The 16604-nt window shown below is 53.6% G+C and overlaps 1 protein-coding gene across 2 annotated transcripts in view, besides 5 other annotated features; it reads left to right on the forward strand.

Moving 5' to 3' along the window:
* MYO9B (myosin IXB) overlaps positions 1 to 16604 on the forward strand; it is a 137510-nt gene that overhangs the window by 21714 nt on the left and 99192 nt on the right. For both annotated transcript variants that reach the window (NM_001130065.2, NM_004145.4), the window contains exon 2: positions 4170 to 5067. In NM_001130065.2, coding sequence (NP_001123537.1) covers positions 4228 to 5067 — 840 coding nt within the window. In that variant the 5' untranslated portion in view covers positions 4170 to 4227. The remainder of the gene's footprint in view (positions 1 to 4169; positions 5068 to 16604) is intronic.
* Positions 6649 to 6698: an enhancer, noted in NCBI's record as "active region_14254". NCBI's record gives its function as "activates an Ori minimal core promoter by ATAC-STARR-seq in GM12878 lymphoblastoid cells {active_cell/tissue: GM12878}" and the evidence as "EXISTENCE:reporter gene assay evidence [ECO:0000049][PMID:35858748]".
* Positions 10760 to 10809: an enhancer, noted in NCBI's record as "active region_14255". NCBI's record gives its function as "activates an Ori minimal core promoter by ATAC-STARR-seq in GM12878 lymphoblastoid cells {active_cell/tissue: GM12878}" and the evidence as "EXISTENCE:reporter gene assay evidence [ECO:0000049][PMID:35858748]".
* Positions 12842 to 12951: an enhancer, noted in NCBI's record as "active region_14256". NCBI's record gives its function as "activates an Ori minimal core promoter by ATAC-STARR-seq in GM12878 lymphoblastoid cells {active_cell/tissue: GM12878}" and the evidence as "EXISTENCE:reporter gene assay evidence [ECO:0000049][PMID:35858748]".
* Positions 12842 to 13416: a biological region, named in NCBI's record as "H3K4me1 hESC enhancer GRCh37_chr19:17221215-17221716".
* Positions 12915 to 13416: an enhancer, noted in NCBI's record as "H3K4me1 hESC enhancer chr19:17221215-17221716 (GRCh37/hg19 assembly coordinates)". NCBI's record gives its function as "activates a minimal SCP1, AML or CMV promoter by ChIP-STARR-seq in naive H9 embryonic stem cells {active_cell/tissue: H9 hESC(naive)}" and the evidence as "EXISTENCE:reporter gene assay evidence [ECO:0000049][PMID:30033119]".

A 16604-nucleotide genomic window follows, 5' to 3' on the forward strand; every position in this document is an offset into this window, starting at 1 on the left:
GCTAAATGGATAAGACAATCCAAAATTTATTAAACTATACAGTATATATCTATTTCCCTGGGAGAAAACATGACAGTTACTTACTAACCTGGGGGAAAGTTTTAAGAGTTAAATCTTGTGTGTCCCCCAGCCTTCTTCCCTGTCGCCACTCCCTATCCCTGTGTGAACTGTTGCCTCGGCCTCATAAGTTATCGTTTCTTTCAGCCTCAGCCCTTCTAACACTTCTGCAGGAATTCTCAGAGCCTCTAGTGGCCCTGACCCCACTCAGTCACAGTGCTGAGTCATGCTTCTCTTTAGGGCAGAGGTCAGCAAACCTTTGCTTTGAAGGGCTGGATAGTAAATATTTTAGGCTTTCCAGGCTGTAATATTACAGTCTGTGCCTGAACTATTTCACTCTGCTCTTGTAGCAAAAGCAGCCACAGACAATAAGGAAAGGAGTGTGGGCAAGGCTGCCTTCCAGTAAAACTTTATTTATAAAAACAGGTGGTGGGCCTATTGTACCATCCTTTATTCTTCTACTCACCTCGTGAACGAACTCCTCTTCATCCTTCAGAACCCCCCCCCCCCACCTTTTTTTTCTTCACGATGGAGTCTCACTCTGTCGCCCAGGCCAGAATGCAGTGGCATGATTGCGGCTCGCTACAACCTTCACCTCCCAGATTCAAGCGATTCTCCTGCCTCAGCCTCCCAAGTAGCTGGGATTACAGGCACCCACCACCGTGCCCGGCTAATTTTTGTATTTTTAGTACAGACAGGGTTTCACCATGTTGGTCAGGCTGGTCTTGAACTCCTGACCTCAAGCAGTCCACCCGCCTTGGCCTCCCAAAGTGCTCGGATTACAAGCGTGAGCGACCGCGCCTGGTCTTAGAACCCCTCTTAGATATTCCTACTCCCCTAATGTCTTCTCTTGTCCTTTAGGATAATCACTCCTGCTGTGTGTCTTTTAACTGCTGCGCTGGATTCACGTCTACACTCACGTCTGTTTGCATACCAGTCTCTCCTGCCTGGCTTTGGGCCTCATCTTCACACCCTCAGCCATTCTTGGTTGACTCATGCCGCATTTATGGCTCTTGATCCAAGCCCCTAGGTGGGCTGGCACCAGCATTTCTTTTTCTTGCAACCTTCAGAAGCAAATGCACTTTTTAGGAATAAACTTGGCCGGGCACAGTCACTCATCCCTATAATCTCAGCACTCTAGGGGGCCTAGGCAGGTGGATCATTTGAGCCCAGGAGTTTGACAACAACCTGGGCAATATAGTGAGGCCCCCATCTCTACAGAAAATACAGAAACATTAGCCAGCATGCATCGTGGTGTGCACCTATAGTCCCAGCTACTTGTGAGGCAGAGGTGAGAGGATCACATGAGCCCAGGGAGATCAAGTCTGCAGTGAGCCGTGATCATGCCAATGCACCCCAGCCTGGGAAGTAGAGCAAGACCCTGACAAAAAAAAAAAAAAGAAGAAGAAACTGGGCGACCCTCTCTCTTAGGAAAAAAAAAAAAAAGGGCTAGGTGCAGTGGCTCACACCTGTAATCCCAGCACTTTGGGAAGCCGAAGTGGGTGGATCACAAGGTCAAGAGATTGAGACCATCCTGGCCAACATGGTGAAACCCCGTCTCTACTAAAAATACAAAAATTAGTTGGGCATGGTGGTGGGCGCCTGTAGTCCCAGCTACTCGGGAGGCTGAGGCAGGAGAATCACTTGAACCCGGGAGGCAGAGGTTGCAGTGAGCCGAGATCCGCCACTGGACTCCAGCATGGTGATAGAGTGAGACTCCATCTCAAGAAAAAAAAAAAAATGAAGAGGGTGAATTTTGGGGAGCTAAACAATCTATATACGTGGACATAACAGAGCAGAATAGTTATTGGGGACTGCAGAAGGTGATGGGGGGAGGAGGGTGAGGGTGAACAAATTTCCCGTTGGGTACGATGTTCACTATTCAGGCAATGTGTATCCCAAAAGCCCAGATTGGCCTGGCGCAGTGGCTCACTCCTGTAATCCTAGCACTTTGGGAGGCCAAGGCGGGAGGATCGTTTGAGCTTAGGAGTTCAAGGCCACCTAGCCAACATAATGAGAGCACTTTGGAAGCCCGAAGCGGGTGGATCACGAGGTCAGGAGATAGAGACCATCCTGGCTAACATGGTGAAACTCCATCTCTACTAAAAATACAAAAAAAAATTAGCCAGGCGCGGTGGCGGGCGCCTGTTGTCTCAGCTACTCGAGAGGCTGAGGCAGGAGAATGGCGTGAACCCGGGAGGCGGAGCTTGCAGTGAGCCAAGATAGCGCCACTGCAGTCCGGCCTGGGTGAAAAAGCGAGACTGTCTTAAAAAAAAAAAAAAAAAAAAGGCCGGGTGCGGTAGCTCATGTCTGTAATCCCAGCACTTTGGGAGGCCGAGGAGGATGGATCACCTGAGGTCAGGAGTTCGAGACCAGCCTGGCCAACATAGTGAAACCCTGTCTATGCTAAAAATACAAAAAAAATTAGCCGGGCGTGGTGGCGGGGTGCCTGTAATCCCAGCTACTTGGGAGGCTGAGACAGGAGAATCGCTTGAACCCAGGAGGTGGAGGTTGCAGTGAGCCGACATCATGCCACTGCACTAGAGCCTGGGCAACAAAGAGCGAAACTCCATCTCAAAAAAAAAAAAGCCCAGACTTCACCACTACACGATATATGTGTATAAGAAACCTGCACTTGTAGGCCAGGCGTGGTGGCTCACCCCTCTAATCCCAGCACTTAGGGAAGTCGAGGTTGGCACATCACCTGAGGTCAGGAGTTTGAGACCAGCCTGGCCAACATGGCAAAACCCCATCTCTACTTAAAAAAATACAAAAATTAGCCGGGTGTGGTGGCGCATGCCTATAGTCCCAGCTACTCAGGAGGCTGAGGCAGAAGAATTGCTTGAACCCAGGCAGCAGAGGTTGCAGTGAGCCGAGATCACACCACTGCACTCTAGCCTGGGCGACAGCACGAGACTCTTATCTCAAAAACAAAAAAAGAAAAAGAAAAGAAATTGGTATTGGCAGACTGCTACTTACCACCTTCCTGGTGTGCTTCTGGTGTCACTAGCTCTTCCATTCAAGCCCTCTCTCTGGTAGAGGATCCTTTCCAGGGAGTCCTATCGCATTGAGAATCTCCTGTGGTCTTGGACAGCTAGCTCCTCAGTCTTTCCTTGTTGCCCGTGACCTTGGCAGTCTTGGGACCACCAGCCATATTCCTGCAGGATGCCCCCAGCCTGGGCCTGCCTGATGTTCTTCTCCCCAGTAGTCTGGAGTTGTGGCTTCAGAAGCAACCACACTCTAGGCCATTCCCGAGTGCATTTTTCGTGGCTCTCCCGGACTTCATCTTCCTAGGTTGGGTTTCAAGGACCCTGGAGTTTTGGGAATCCCAAATTTCAGGACAGGTTCAGTCTTGCTCATCCCCACATGCCTCTCGCTGTTACTGCTGTGTGGCCAAGGCCTGTGGGGCCGAGTCGTCTTCTGCTTGGGGAGCTGCTGGGGAGGTTTATTCAGAGATGAGGTCAGGAAGGATGTGGGCTGGGAAGGGCATAGCAGAAAGAGGGTCATGGCTTGTTGGGCTTCAGGATTGAGAGGCTGCCTCTGGATGGGGTGGGATGGGGGCTGGGATGGAGCAAACTCAGGGGAAGGGTCAGGTCTTGGGGTTGTCTGATGATGTCACTTGTAAAAGCCACTGTATTTTTTTTTAAGTGACAGGGTCTCTCTCTCTCACCCAGGCTGGAGCACAGCTGGTATAATCATGGCTCACTGCAGCCTCGATCTCCTGGGTTCAAGTGATCCTCCCATCTCAGCCTCCTGAGGAGCTGGGACCACAGGCGAGCACCACTATGCCTTTATTTTTTGTAGAGACGGGGTCTCGCTATGTTGCCCAGGCTGGTCTCAAACTCCTGGCCTCAAGCGATCCTCCCACCTTGGCCTCCTAAAGTGTTGGGATTATAAGCATGAGCCACTGCAGGAGCCTGAGGTCACATTGAAGGACAGACAGACCCTCACGGGATGTCGTGACTGGTTGCCTCTGGCTTTTTGGGCGAGCCTAGTCGGGTGGGGAACTCCAGCATCGGGTCAGGTGCTATCTGCCCAGGAGTGGGACTCCACATGCCCCTTAAACTTCCTCCCACCATTCTGACCATGCCTGGCTCTGACCTCCCTTCTAGCTCCAGGACACGCGCGCCCCGAGCCTGGGAGGCATGCTGAAGCCAGGCGGCCGGCAGGATGAGTGTGAAAGAGGCAGGCAGCTCGGGCCGCCGGGAGCAGGCGGCCTACCACCTGCACATCTACCCCCAGCTGTCCACCACCGAGAGCCAGGCCTCGTGCCGCGTGACTGCCACCAAGGACAGCACCACCTCGGACGTCATCAAGGACGCCATTGCCAGCCTGCGGCTGGACGGCACCAAATGTTATGTGCTGGTGGAGGTCAAAGAGTCGGGAGGCGAGGAATGGGTGCTGGACGCCAACGACTCGCCTGTGCACCGGGTGCTGCTATGGCCCCGGCGGGCACAGGACGAGCACCCTCAGGAGGATGGCTACTACTTCCTGCTGCAGGAGCGCAACGCAGATGGAACCATCAAGTACGTGCATATGCAGCTGGTGGCGCAGGCCACAGCCACCCGGCGCCTAGTGGAGCGTGGCCTCCTGCCACGGCAGCAGGCGGACTTTGATGACCTGTGTAACCTCCCCGAGCTAACCGAGGGCAACCTCCTGAAGAACCTCAAGCACCGCTTCCTGCAACAAAAGATCTACACGTACGCGGGGAGCATCCTGGTGGCCATCAACCCCTTTAAGTTCCTGCCCATCTACAACCCCAAGTACGTGAAGATGTATGAGAACCAGCAGCTGGGCAAGCTGGAGCCACACGTCTTCGCGCTGGCCGACGTGGCCTACTACACCATGCTCAGGAAGCGCGTGAACCAGTGCATCGTGATCTCGGGTGAGAGCGGCTCCGGCAAGACCCAGAGCACCAACTTCCTCATCCACTGCCTCACCGCCCTCAGCCAGAAGGGCTACGCCAGCGGCGTCGAGAGGACCATCCTGGGTGCTGGCCCTGTGCTGGAGGTGAGCGGGGAAGCTGGTCGGTCTGTGGGAGGGGGCATTTGTTTGGAAAATGCGGGTTTCAGGCCAAGCTCGGTGGCCCACATCTATAATCCCAATGCTTTGGAAGGCTGAGGGAGGAGGATTGCTTGAGCCCAGGAGTTCAAGATCAGCCTGGGCAACATAGCAAGATCTTTTCTCTACAAAAAAAAAAAAATAATTAGCCAGGCAGGCATAGTAGTGCTCACCTGTAGTCCCAGCTGCTCAGGAGGCTGAGGCAGGAGGATCACTTGAGCCCAGGAGTTCGAGGCTTCAGTGAGCTATGATCATGCCACTGCACTCCAGCCTGGATGACAGAGAGAGACTCCATCTCAAAAAAAAAAAAAGAAAGAAATTTCAGGCTGGGTGTGGTGGCTCATGTCTATAACCCCAGTGGTTTTTGAGAGGCTGAGGCAAGAGGATCGCTTGAGCCCAGGAATTCAACATCAGCCTGGTCAACACAGCAAGGCCCCCTCTCTACAAAAAAAAAAAAAAAAAGATTACCGAAGTGCGGTGGCACACATTTGTTGTCCCAGCTATTGGAGAGGCTAAGGCGGGAGGATCGCTTGAGCCCACGAGTTGGAGCTATGATTGCACTACTGCACTCCAGCCTGGGCAACAGAGACAGACCCTGCCTCTAAAGAGAGAAAAAGTGGAGGTTTTCTGATTGTTGTTATTATTCAGGTACTGCGAAGCCAACTGGTCAGGATGCAACTGCCTCTTGGAAAGAGAGTTTGTTACTCACAGTTCCCGAAAGAAGAGGATGCAATGCCATGGAAGGCCACAGGGGGAAGCACTGGGACTCATCAGGAGGCTGAGGGAGAGAGGGAAAAAGGGAGCGGGGAGAGGCAGGAAACTTTATTGTGATTTTCATGCATCAGAATGTGCTAGGCAGAGTAAGCTGGCTTAGGATTGGCTTGTTTGAATTATTTCAATGGGCTCTGGGGCATAGGGGCTGCCCCTTGTTGTCAGGTGCCAGGGCCTGGGGTGATGAGGGCAGGGGATAGTGGGCTGGAGTGTGAGAGTCCCAGAGAGGAGGTGGCTGGGGTGTAGGCTCTGGACTGGTTGGTTTGCATATGGAAGGCAAGTCCCAAACCATCTCTAGGAACTGGCTAGAATCAATCTAGGAATTGGGAAGGGCCGTCTCCCTGGGGTCAGCCAGGCCCCAGATGTCAGAGCATCAGAAATACAGAAAATAAGTCACTGGGCGCGGTGGCTCACACCTGTAATCCCAACACTTTGGGAGGCTGAGGCAGGTGGATCACGGGAGGTCAGGACTTTGAGACCAGCCTGGCCAACATGATGAAACCTCGTTTCTACTAAAAATATAAAAATTAGCCAGGCATGATGGTGTGTGCCTGTAATCCCAGCTACTCGGGAGGCTGAGGCAGGAGAATCGCTTGAACCCGGTAGGTGGAGGTTGCAGTGAGCCAAGATCGCTTCACTGCACTCCAGCCTGGGTGACAGAGCGAAACTCCATCTCAAAAAAAAAAAAAAAATAGTCACAGTTAATACACATTTGGCTTCCAGAACATGGCCATTCATTCTCAAGGTGCCTGAAAGAAAAGGCTGGTGTATTCAAACCAGTTTGAGGAGTGCTTCACAACGGGACATTTCTAGGGGGACCAGCAGGGTGGAAGGAAGCCAGCAAGGCGTACGGCAGGCCTGGGGGTTAAGGGGATGGCGAAGCATTGTCGGGGAGGGGGCTGCCTAGTTTCACTGTAGAGGCAGCAGAGAAGGGACCAACCCAGGCTCTTATGCCTCATGCCCTCTGCCCACTGTTCATTGCCCTGATCAGCCAAACCCCACAGGAGCCCTCGATGTGCCACTGTGGGTGAGTCTTGTGGCCACAGGGCTACAGAGGTGACCACACAGCACCCATCATTGCAGGGATTGTAGGACAAGGTGCATCCACATGTCTCAGAACAACGCAACCATCGCCACCTGGTGAGGGCCAGGGGCAGCGTGTGGCCTCAGGGGTCTGCACCTCTGGGTGTGGGATCTGCCTTTTTTTCATTTTTATTTTATTTTTTGTAGAGATGGGGGTCTCACTGTATTCCCCAGGCTGGTCTCGAACTCCTGGATGCCAATGATCCTCCCACCTTGGCCTCCCAAAATGCTGGGATTATAGGCGTGAACCACTGTACCCAGCTCCGCTTAAAAAAAAAACAAAAAAACAGATTGGTTGTTTTAGAGCAGTTTTAGGTTTATAAAAATACCGAGCAGATAGTGCAGAGAGTTCCCATGTACCCCTCCCACGCCCAGGTTCTCACATTATTTATATTTTGCATTCGTGTGGTGTGTTGGTTGCACCTGACTCAACTCTACGTTGGTACTGTTACTAACAGCCATAGTTTCCATTAGGGTTCTTGGTGTTGCACATTCTTTGAGTTTGGACAAAAGTATAATGAATGTGTCTGCCGTTGGAGTGTCACAGAGTGGTGTCACTGCCCTAAAATTCCTCCATGCTCCCCCTGTTCATCCCTCCATGACCTTTGGCAGCCACAGCTCTTCTCACTGCCTCCACAGTTCTGTCTTTTCCAGGCTGTCTGTAGTTGGAGTCCCAGTGTTGCAGGCTTTTCAGACTGGCTTCTTCCACTTCACAACCAGCATTTAAGGTTCCTGCATGTCAGTTGGGCACGGTGGCTTACATAATCCCAGTGCACTGGGAGGCCGAGGCAGGAGGATCACTTGAGCCCAGGAGTTCCAGATCAGCCTGGGCAACATAACAAGACCCTGTCTCTACCAAAAAAAAAAAAAAAAAAAAAAAAAATTAGCCAGGTGTGGTGGTGTTTGCCTGTGGTCCCCCCTACGTGGGAGTCTGAGGCAGGAGAATCGCTTGAGCCCGGGAGGTTGAGGCTGCAGTGAGCCAACGTCTGGCCACTGCACTCCAGCCTAGGTGACAGAGCGAGACCCTGTCCCCCAAAAAAAGGGGAGAGGAGATTCCTCCATGTCTTTTCGTGGCTTGAGAGCTCATTTCTTTTGCTGAATTGTAGCTCATTATATGAATGTGTCAGTTTCTTCACACGTAGGATCCTGAGAGCCCCCTCAGTGGAGAGAGGGAGTTGGGGGCAGGGTCAGACCCCACCCTTTCTGGAGCCTTGACCTCTCGCCTCTTGTTAGTCCCCACAAGCTGAGGGCTGCCATGCAAATTCACTGAAATCACATCTAAGCAGTGCCTAGGAATACATTTCAGTTCCTCTTCCTCTCTGAGGTCATCAGTAAGACATTAATTGGGGTCATACAACTTAGCCCTGGTCCGACATATGTAGCCTATTCCTGTTTTCTCCTGTGCAAGTAACACAGAGATTCATTGTCATTGTTTACATCAGCTTTTAATAAAACTGCTGAGCAATTTCACCATAGAATGTCCATTTTCTTTCCTTTCCCATCCCCTCCCCTCCCCTCCTCTCCCCTCCCCTCTCCTCGCCTCTCCTCTATTCCTTTCTTGTCAGGGTCTCTCTCCGTTACCTAGAATGGAGTGCAGTGGCACAATCATAACTCACCGCAGCCTCGAGAACTTCTGGGCTCAAGCGATCCTCCCACCCAAGTAGCTGGAATTCCAGGTGTGCACCACCATGCCCGGCTAATTTTTAAATTTTCTGTAGAGACACAGTCTTACTATGTTCTCCAGGCTGGTCTCGAACTCCTGGCTTCCAGTGATCCTCCCACCTCAGCTGTTTTTAATATGGCTTGTCTTGTGTGCATTACATTATATACCCAGACCGCCCGTTCATTGCTGTGTGAGCATTTGCTGTGTGGCAGGCTATGATATAGGTGCTGGGCTATGTGGTGGCCAAAGTCAACACAAAATTCTCCCCAGGTAGAACTCGGGGAAGACTCTGGGTGACACAGGAGCTATAGAGGTTCTGAGCAGAGGTAGATGCAACCCAGCTCTGGTCTCCCGAGGCCGCCCTGGCGTCATCCCAGCTCTGAGACTCAGCCACAGTGAAACTGCCAGTGGCCCCAGTGTCCTCCCAGCAGGTGGCCAGGGGGCTCAACGGCTCTCCAGGCCAAAACATCAGTGCCTGGCATCCACACCCGAGATAAAACAGTGATCTTGAAAATTCAGCATGTGTGGCACACACCTGTAATCCCAGAGTCAGGAGGCTGAGTCCTGAGTCAGGAGGATTGCGTGAGCCTAGGAATTCCAGACCAGCCTGGGTAACATTGCAAGACCCCATCTCTACCAAAAAGTTTAAAAACTAGGCTGGGTGCAGTGGCTCATGCCTGTAATCCCAACACTTTGGGAGGCCAAGGCAGGTGGATCACCTGAGGTCAAGAGTTCGAGACCAGCCTGGCAAACATGGTGAAACCCCGTCTCTACTAAAAATACAAAAATTAGCCAGGTGTGGTGGCGAGCGCCTATAATCCCAGGTACTTCGGAGGCTGAGGCAGGAGAATGGCTTGAACTTGGGAGGTGGAGGTTGCAGTGAGCCAATATCGCACCATTGCACTCCAGCCTGGGCAACAAGAGCGAAATCTGTCTCAAAATTAAAAATAAAAATAAAAAATTAGCCAGGCATGGCAGTGCATGCCTGTGGTCTCAGCTCTCAGGAGCTTGAAGTGGGAGGATTGCTTGAGCCCAGAAGTTCAAGACTGCAGTGAGCTGTGATCACACACTGCACTCCAGCCTGGGTGACAGAGCAAGACCCTGTCTCAAAAAAATAACAAAAAAAATTTAGTAGGTGAATGAATGAGAGGGTAGATCCAACATTTACCATGTCAGACATTTTGCCAAATGGGACTAGGCAGGTGGGTAAATGCCTGAGCCCCGCAGAAATGACACGCCCAGCCCCAGGGTCTCAAAGTGGCACGGCCAGGAGGCAGGATTGCCACCTAGGTCTCAGTTCAGGGTCCATGTCCTCCCCACCACGTTGCTGCCTCCACAGCGCCATCTCACTAGGACCCTCCAGGGCGTGGACAAGTTTCCTGTTGCTAAGTGTTAGGGGCAAGGGAGTCTCCAACAACAGGGATTAAGGCTCTCATGGTCCTGGAGGCCAGAAGTCTGAAATCAAGGTGTCCACGGGGCCGCACTCCCTCCCGGCTCTGGGGGAGGATGCTTCAGGCCTCTTCAGCTTCTCTGGTGGCTGCAGATGTGCCCTGGCCTGTGGCCACGTCACATCAGTCTCTGCCTCTGTCGTCAGGGGCGTTCTTCCTGTGTGTCCATGTCTTCACGTGGCTTTCTTATAACAAGGACACCACTCATGGGATGTAGGGCCCATCCTACCCCGGCATGACCTCATCCTACCTAATTGCATTTGCAAAGACCCTATTTCCAAATAAGGTCACATACACAGTTTCTGGGGGTGAGGATGTGGATATAATTTTGGGGGCGGGGGGCTCAAGTCAGCCCACAGCATCCCCCATACAGCCCCACCTGGTCTGCTTCAAGTCCTACCTGGCCCCTGGCAAGTCCCACTTGGTGACATCTTGTGCCTGGGTCCTTGAGGGCTGCCCCAGATCCGCGATTGTCCTGGGGACCGGTAGTTCCTCCCCGGATGCCAGCAAAGCTCCCTCCAGCCTCCACGCCTGCACAGTCTCCAGTATGCCTTCAACAGCCATTAGTCACCCTCTGTGAGTCAGACCCCCGGTCCTGCCAGGCCAACCTGCTTGGGGCCTCAGCAGCGGGGGCTGGCGAGGCCAGTTTTCTCCAGCGGTTCTAAGCCGCTCGAGGGTGGTGCCCACGCCGGCTTCCAAAACAGGCTTGAGCCAAATCCACGTCATGGCAATAAACGTGCTTCCTGGGGCGACTGTTTGCAAAGGGATGTGATTGTCTTCACTGAGAGCTGGATTTCTCAACCTGGCTCTGCTGACATTCAGGGCCGGATCGTTCTCTGGGGAGGGAGTCATCCTGTGCATTGAAGGACATTGAGCAGCATCCCTGGCCTCCACCCACCAGATGCCAGGAGCACTCCCCACCCCGCAGGTGTGACACCCAGAAGTGTCCCCAGACATTTCATTGATTAGAGAGGTATTAACAAAATAGCTTCCCGTTGTCCCCTGGGGACAAATCACCCCCTGGGAATAGAACAGCTGTCTTTGAGTTCTTCCCATAAGACCCAATCACTGTTCATTGCAGCCACTGAGCTTTTAGAAATTATCTGTGAGTTCTTTCTGTTCTGTGCTAACTTAAGAGTCATTTTCTTTTTTTCTTTTTTTGAGATAGAGTCTTGCTCTATCGCCCAGGCTGGAGTGCAGTGGCACGATCTCGGCTCACTGGAACCTCTGCCTCCTGGGTTTGATTCTCCTGCCTCAGCCCTCCCGAGTAGCTGGGACTACAGGCGCCCACCACCGTGCCCGGCTAATGTTTGTATTTTTAGTAGAGACGGGTTTCACCATAGTGGCCAGGCTGGTCTCAAACTCCTGACCTCAAGTAATCTGCCCTCCTCAGCCTCCCAAAGTGCTGGGATTATAGGCGTGAGCCACCATGCCTGGCCCCAAGAATCTTTTTTTTAATTTTATTTATTTATTTATTTATTTATTTATTTATTTATTTATTTATTTATTTTGAAACAGAGTTTCTCTCTGTCTCCGGGCTGGAGTGCAGTGGCGCGATCTCGGCTCACTGCAAGTTCTGCCTCCCGGGTTCGTGCCATTCTCCTGCCTCAGCCTCCTGAGTAGCTGGGACTACAGGTGCTCACCACCACACCCAGCTAATTTTTTGTATTTTTAGTAGAGATGGGGTTTCACCGTGTTAGCCAGAATGGTCTCGATCTCCTGACCTCGTGGTCCGCCCACCTCAGCCTCCCAAAGTGCTGGGATTACAAGCATGAGCCACTGCGCCCGGCCATCATTTTCTAATAAGAGGAATAAGACCTCAGGCCCACTGGGTATCAGGGTTTGGGCTTCGTGATTTTCCTCCATCATCTCTAATCCCTCACGGCAGCTCTGCCCATTTTAAAGATGAGGAAACTGAGCCCCAGAGAGACACGTGGATGTGTGAGTTTCCTGAGGTGTCTATAACAAAGTATTACGGGCTGGGAGCCCTCAAACAGCAGGGGTTGATTCTCTCACAGTTCTGGAGGCCAGAAGTTGAAAATCAAGGTGTGGGCAGGGCTGGGTCCCTCTGGAGGCTCTGAGGGAGAATCTGTCCCAGGCCTCTCTCCCGGGTTCTGGTGGCTTCAGCCATCCTTGGAGCTCTGGGCTTGTGGCCGCATCACTCTGCCCTCTCCCTCCGTCGTCACCTGGTCTTCTCCCCTGTGTGTGTCCAATCTCCCTTGCCTTTCTCTCATGGGATCACCTCATCTCAAAATACTTACCTTCATGACATCTGCCAAGACCCCGTTTCCAGATAAAGCCACAGTCACAGGTTCTGGGGGTAAGGACTTAGACATGTCTTTTTTGGGAAGCCACAAGTCAACCCACTGCAGGTAGATTCCCCAGGCCACACCGCAGAGAGCCAAAGCCTAACCCGGGGTTTGAACCCGGCCTGAGCCCCAGCCCCCCGTTCAGGCTGCCTCTCTGCTCTCCCCTCTCTCGCCCGGGCTGCAGAAAGCCGGAGATCAGCACAACTCGCTGCATCGATTGGGGATTTTTTCTCAGCTCCCCGAAAGGAGAAGTTGAGCTGTTTTGAGGTTTGAGTGTCGCTGGATGCACCCCCTGACCCCCGCCCCCCGCGAGGGTTGCAGCCTCGCTGTGTAATGCTGACCAAAAAACAGGAAGGGAGCACTGTGGAAAGCCGGTTCCAATCAGCTGATCTGCCCGCCACTGCAGTTAACTGTTGCCATCACCTTTCACCAAGTCTAGGGGCTGCAGAAGCCATGAGTCTCCCCATCTTCCACATGGCCTCTAGCCTCCCAGTGCAGGCGCCCGTCGACAGCCCAGGGGCTGTGGATAGAGCACCTTACAGCATCGGCCATGGGGTCTCGCCGCAAAGCACACCCAGAACACGCTCCTCTCCCTTTGCCCACAGCCTCAGATCCACCAGGCACTCGCCTCGGTGCCCTTCTGAGAGCAGGCTGAGTCCAGGGGGCCAAAGGCTGGGGTTCCCTTCATCTGTCCTGAACTGTAGCAAGTGCAGCTGGCAGCTGGCAGCGTGCATGGGGTTTTCATTCTGAAAGCAGAAATAAAATAAGGATCCTTGCTTGTCAGGCTGTTGTCCCAAGGGTCCCTGGACTCCATGGAGCCCCTGTGGCCCGGCCCACAGTGGGACACGGTGACAGTGATGGGCTGCAGGGCGCAGAGGGACGCCCCCAGCTGGTGGAGCCAAGCTCACCCGAAGTTGTGCCGATGCCCAGGACATTCCAGTGAGGGACTGAGGAAGGGTCCTGAACGTGCCACTGCCCCAGACCCCCCTCTTGGGGCAAAGGAACCTAGGACTCGTACCCACCTGGACCGGGTCCTGAGCTCCTCCTTAGGGGCCCTACAAACCCAGTCTCATGTTTCCCCCAACTCCCCCAGCCCCTCTGCCATCAGCCAGGCCACTAGCTCTGTTCCCCCACCCACAGTCAGCACTGGGGTAGGTCACCTAGACCACAGTGCCATTATCCACTTCGACCTCTGCCCTCAAGGACACCTGCCTGGGCCACGTCCTTTCCCCCTGAGTCTGTCGGGCAAGACACAGTTGGATGCCAGCCTCCACCCAGCATTGGGGGCGTCATCTCATACGTCCTCACCACATCCTGATGTGGGCAGACTGACCACCCCCACCTGACATGTGAGGAAACTGAGGCACACGAGCTGCTCAGCAAGGGTGGCAGAGATAGAAGTTTCTGGAACCAGGTGTGTGTCAACTCTCATGCCTCTGAAGTTGAGGTTCCTGTTTAAGAGCTTATGGAGATATAATTTACCTATTTACTTATTTATAAATAGATACCTTATATTTATATCTACAGTTTATAAATATATAGATTAAATTGTATCTGCATTTTATAAATGTATAAATTATATCTGCAGTTTATAAATCTGTAAATTAAATTATATCTGCAGCCTCAAATTCCTGGCCTCAAGTGATCCTCCCACCTCAGCCTCTCAAGCAGCTGAGAATACAGGTGCACACCACCACCCCTGGCTAATTTTTTTATTTTTTGTAGAGACAGGGTTTTGTTATGTCACCAAGGCTGGTCTCCAACTCCTGGCCTCAGGCAAAAGTGTGCAATTCAGTGGCATTTAGTACACTCGCAGTGGTATGCAACCGTCGCCTCTATGCAGTTCCAGAACATTTCCATCCCCCTGAAAGGAGACCCCGTCCCCATCAGCATTCACTCCCCACTTCCCTCTCCCAGGCCCTGGCAGCCACTAACCTGCTTCCTGTCTCTATGGATCTGCCTGTTCTGGACATTTCAGATCAATGGAATCTCTCACACTCTGTGGCCTTTTGTGTCTGGCTTCTCTCACTTGGTATCATGTTCTTGAGATTCATACACGTCGTAGCATGGATCAGTGCTTCCTTCCTTTTCATGGCTGCATCATATTCCACGGTATGGATGGAGGATGGACCATAATTTGTTTCTCTGCCCACCAGTTGTATCAGCATTTCATTCCTTTGTATGGCTGGTATGTGGTTGGGGTTTTCCTGGACCCCTGCCCCAGCCAGGCCAACCTCCCCCATCAGTGTCCCCCACAAGAACAATGTTGGGGAGTGGGGGGATTGACACTCACACAGAGGATCCCCTGGAGACTGTCATGAGCCCTGGGAAGGAGGAGAGCAGTCCTCTCCAGCAGGCTGCTTCGGGCGTGCTAATGGCTGGAGCCACCGAGGGACACCAGGTGGGACCAGGAGCCGGGGTGGGAGGAAGCAAGAAGGGGGCAGGCGTGCCCAGGTATAGCAGGGACGTCCAGGTACAGCAGGGACATCCATCTGCACGTTCTTCCCAGCCTGCTGAGAAGCCAGTGGCCAGAGGGAGGCTGGCTTCAGGGAGCAGGGCGGACGGGCCGGCTGGCGGGGGCCCTGGACTCGGGCAGGAGCGTTTGCACGTGGCTTCCCAAGTGCGACAGAGAGGGAGTCCTGGGAGCAACCCCAGCCGCGGGGATGTGCCAGATCTGAGGCTGATAGCTGAGGACGGACAGGTCCCAAGGGAGGAGGAGAGGGGGTCAGAGATGGCTGCAGGGGAACTGCCCGGAGGCCAGTCCTGGTGAATTTGGTTTGGGGTGCTTCGTTCAAGCAGCTGATGGGGCATCCAAGGGAGAATTGTGCACCAGCCACACAAAGAATCCCGCAGCCCCAGGGCTCATCAGGCCTCAGAGGCCATCCTGTCGCATGACCCAGTCAGAGAGGGGTCAGGGACAGACAGCAAGCTGGGGCACCTCCCAGCCAGGCACTCACCCAGCCCTTGGCTGTTGGCCATACAGGGAGGTGAGTTTGTCAGGAGAGGTAAGTGTTGAGAGGGGGCGTGTGGCTCCCCTCTCATTGGGGGGCATTTCAGGGATGAGATTCAGGGCATAGGCCACAGACCGGAGGAGGCTCAGGGTCAGGACGGGGCCAAGGCCTCAGAAGGCAGAAGTCACCCATGTCACGAGGAGCAAAGGGAAGCCAGCATTTGTTTGAGGAAGAGCAATACCTGCAGTCAGCACCCGTCTGTCTGTCAAAGGGTCCAGGAGCCCCCACTGGCTTGAGTTGTGTCTATGTTACATGAATGCAGAGGTATTTGAGGCTGAGGGTCTCTGAGACCACTTGTCACTTTGCTGGGCTGAGGGAGAAGGAAGGTGGGGCGTCAGTGGGCAGCAGGGTGGGCAGCAAGCTTGGGCTCAGGAGGGTCCGGGGCAGCAGCCTGGTGCACTTCAAAGGGAGATTGGAAGGCCAGCGTGTCCAGGGCCGGGTTGGGGAAGCAGGGCCAGGGTCATTGGGTGCCCGTCCTCCTCTCGGGTAGGCGCACTGCTGTGGTGGGGAAAGAGGAGGCAGAATTAGGGCTCTCAGGAGTTTCCCCCCTGCTCGCCCTGCGAGCGGTCAAGACTCAGGCTAGCCCAGGCCATCCGAAAGGCTAAACAGCGGGATGGTTATCCACACAAACATCTAGGTCACCCATCCACACAGGCAGGCGTGTGTGGAAGACAGGGTGGTGCAAGGACAGAAGGAGGAGGTACAATGTGGCCCTGACCGCAAGCTACTGAAGGTCCCTGAGGGGGGTGAGCTGGGCACCCCGGGCACCACAGGAAGCGAAGATAGAATCAATCTCTGGCTGCCTCTCCTGTGTGGCCTCCCCGGGATGTTTGCACAAAGGTAGGGGGAAGCAGTTTTTGGGGGCCCTGGGTCTGCAGAGCAGCCCAGAGGAGGAGATAGGAGCTGGGGCCCGAATGCAGGGCAGGCAGGAGACGGGGCAGGGCAAACCCCAGAGGCGACGAGAAAGCAGAATAAGCCATCATATAGGGTCAGTTTTAGACCTCACAGTCAGAAACCCTTGGGGACAGAGGCCAGGCTTCCTGGTCCAACCCAAGTTCCCAACCCCTGCCCTGTTGATATGTGGGCTGGATCATTCCGTTATGGCCAGGCCATCCTGTGCATCATGGGGGACTGAGCAGCATCCTGATCCCTGCCCACTAGTTGCCCATAGCACCCCCGCCCCTAGTCCCGACAACCAGAA

This window comes from Homo sapiens, chromosome 19 (assembly GCF_000001405.40).
Source record: "Homo sapiens chromosome 19, GRCh38.p14 Primary Assembly".
Taxonomy (NCBI): Eukaryota; Metazoa; Chordata; class Mammalia; order Primates; family Hominidae; genus Homo; species Homo sapiens.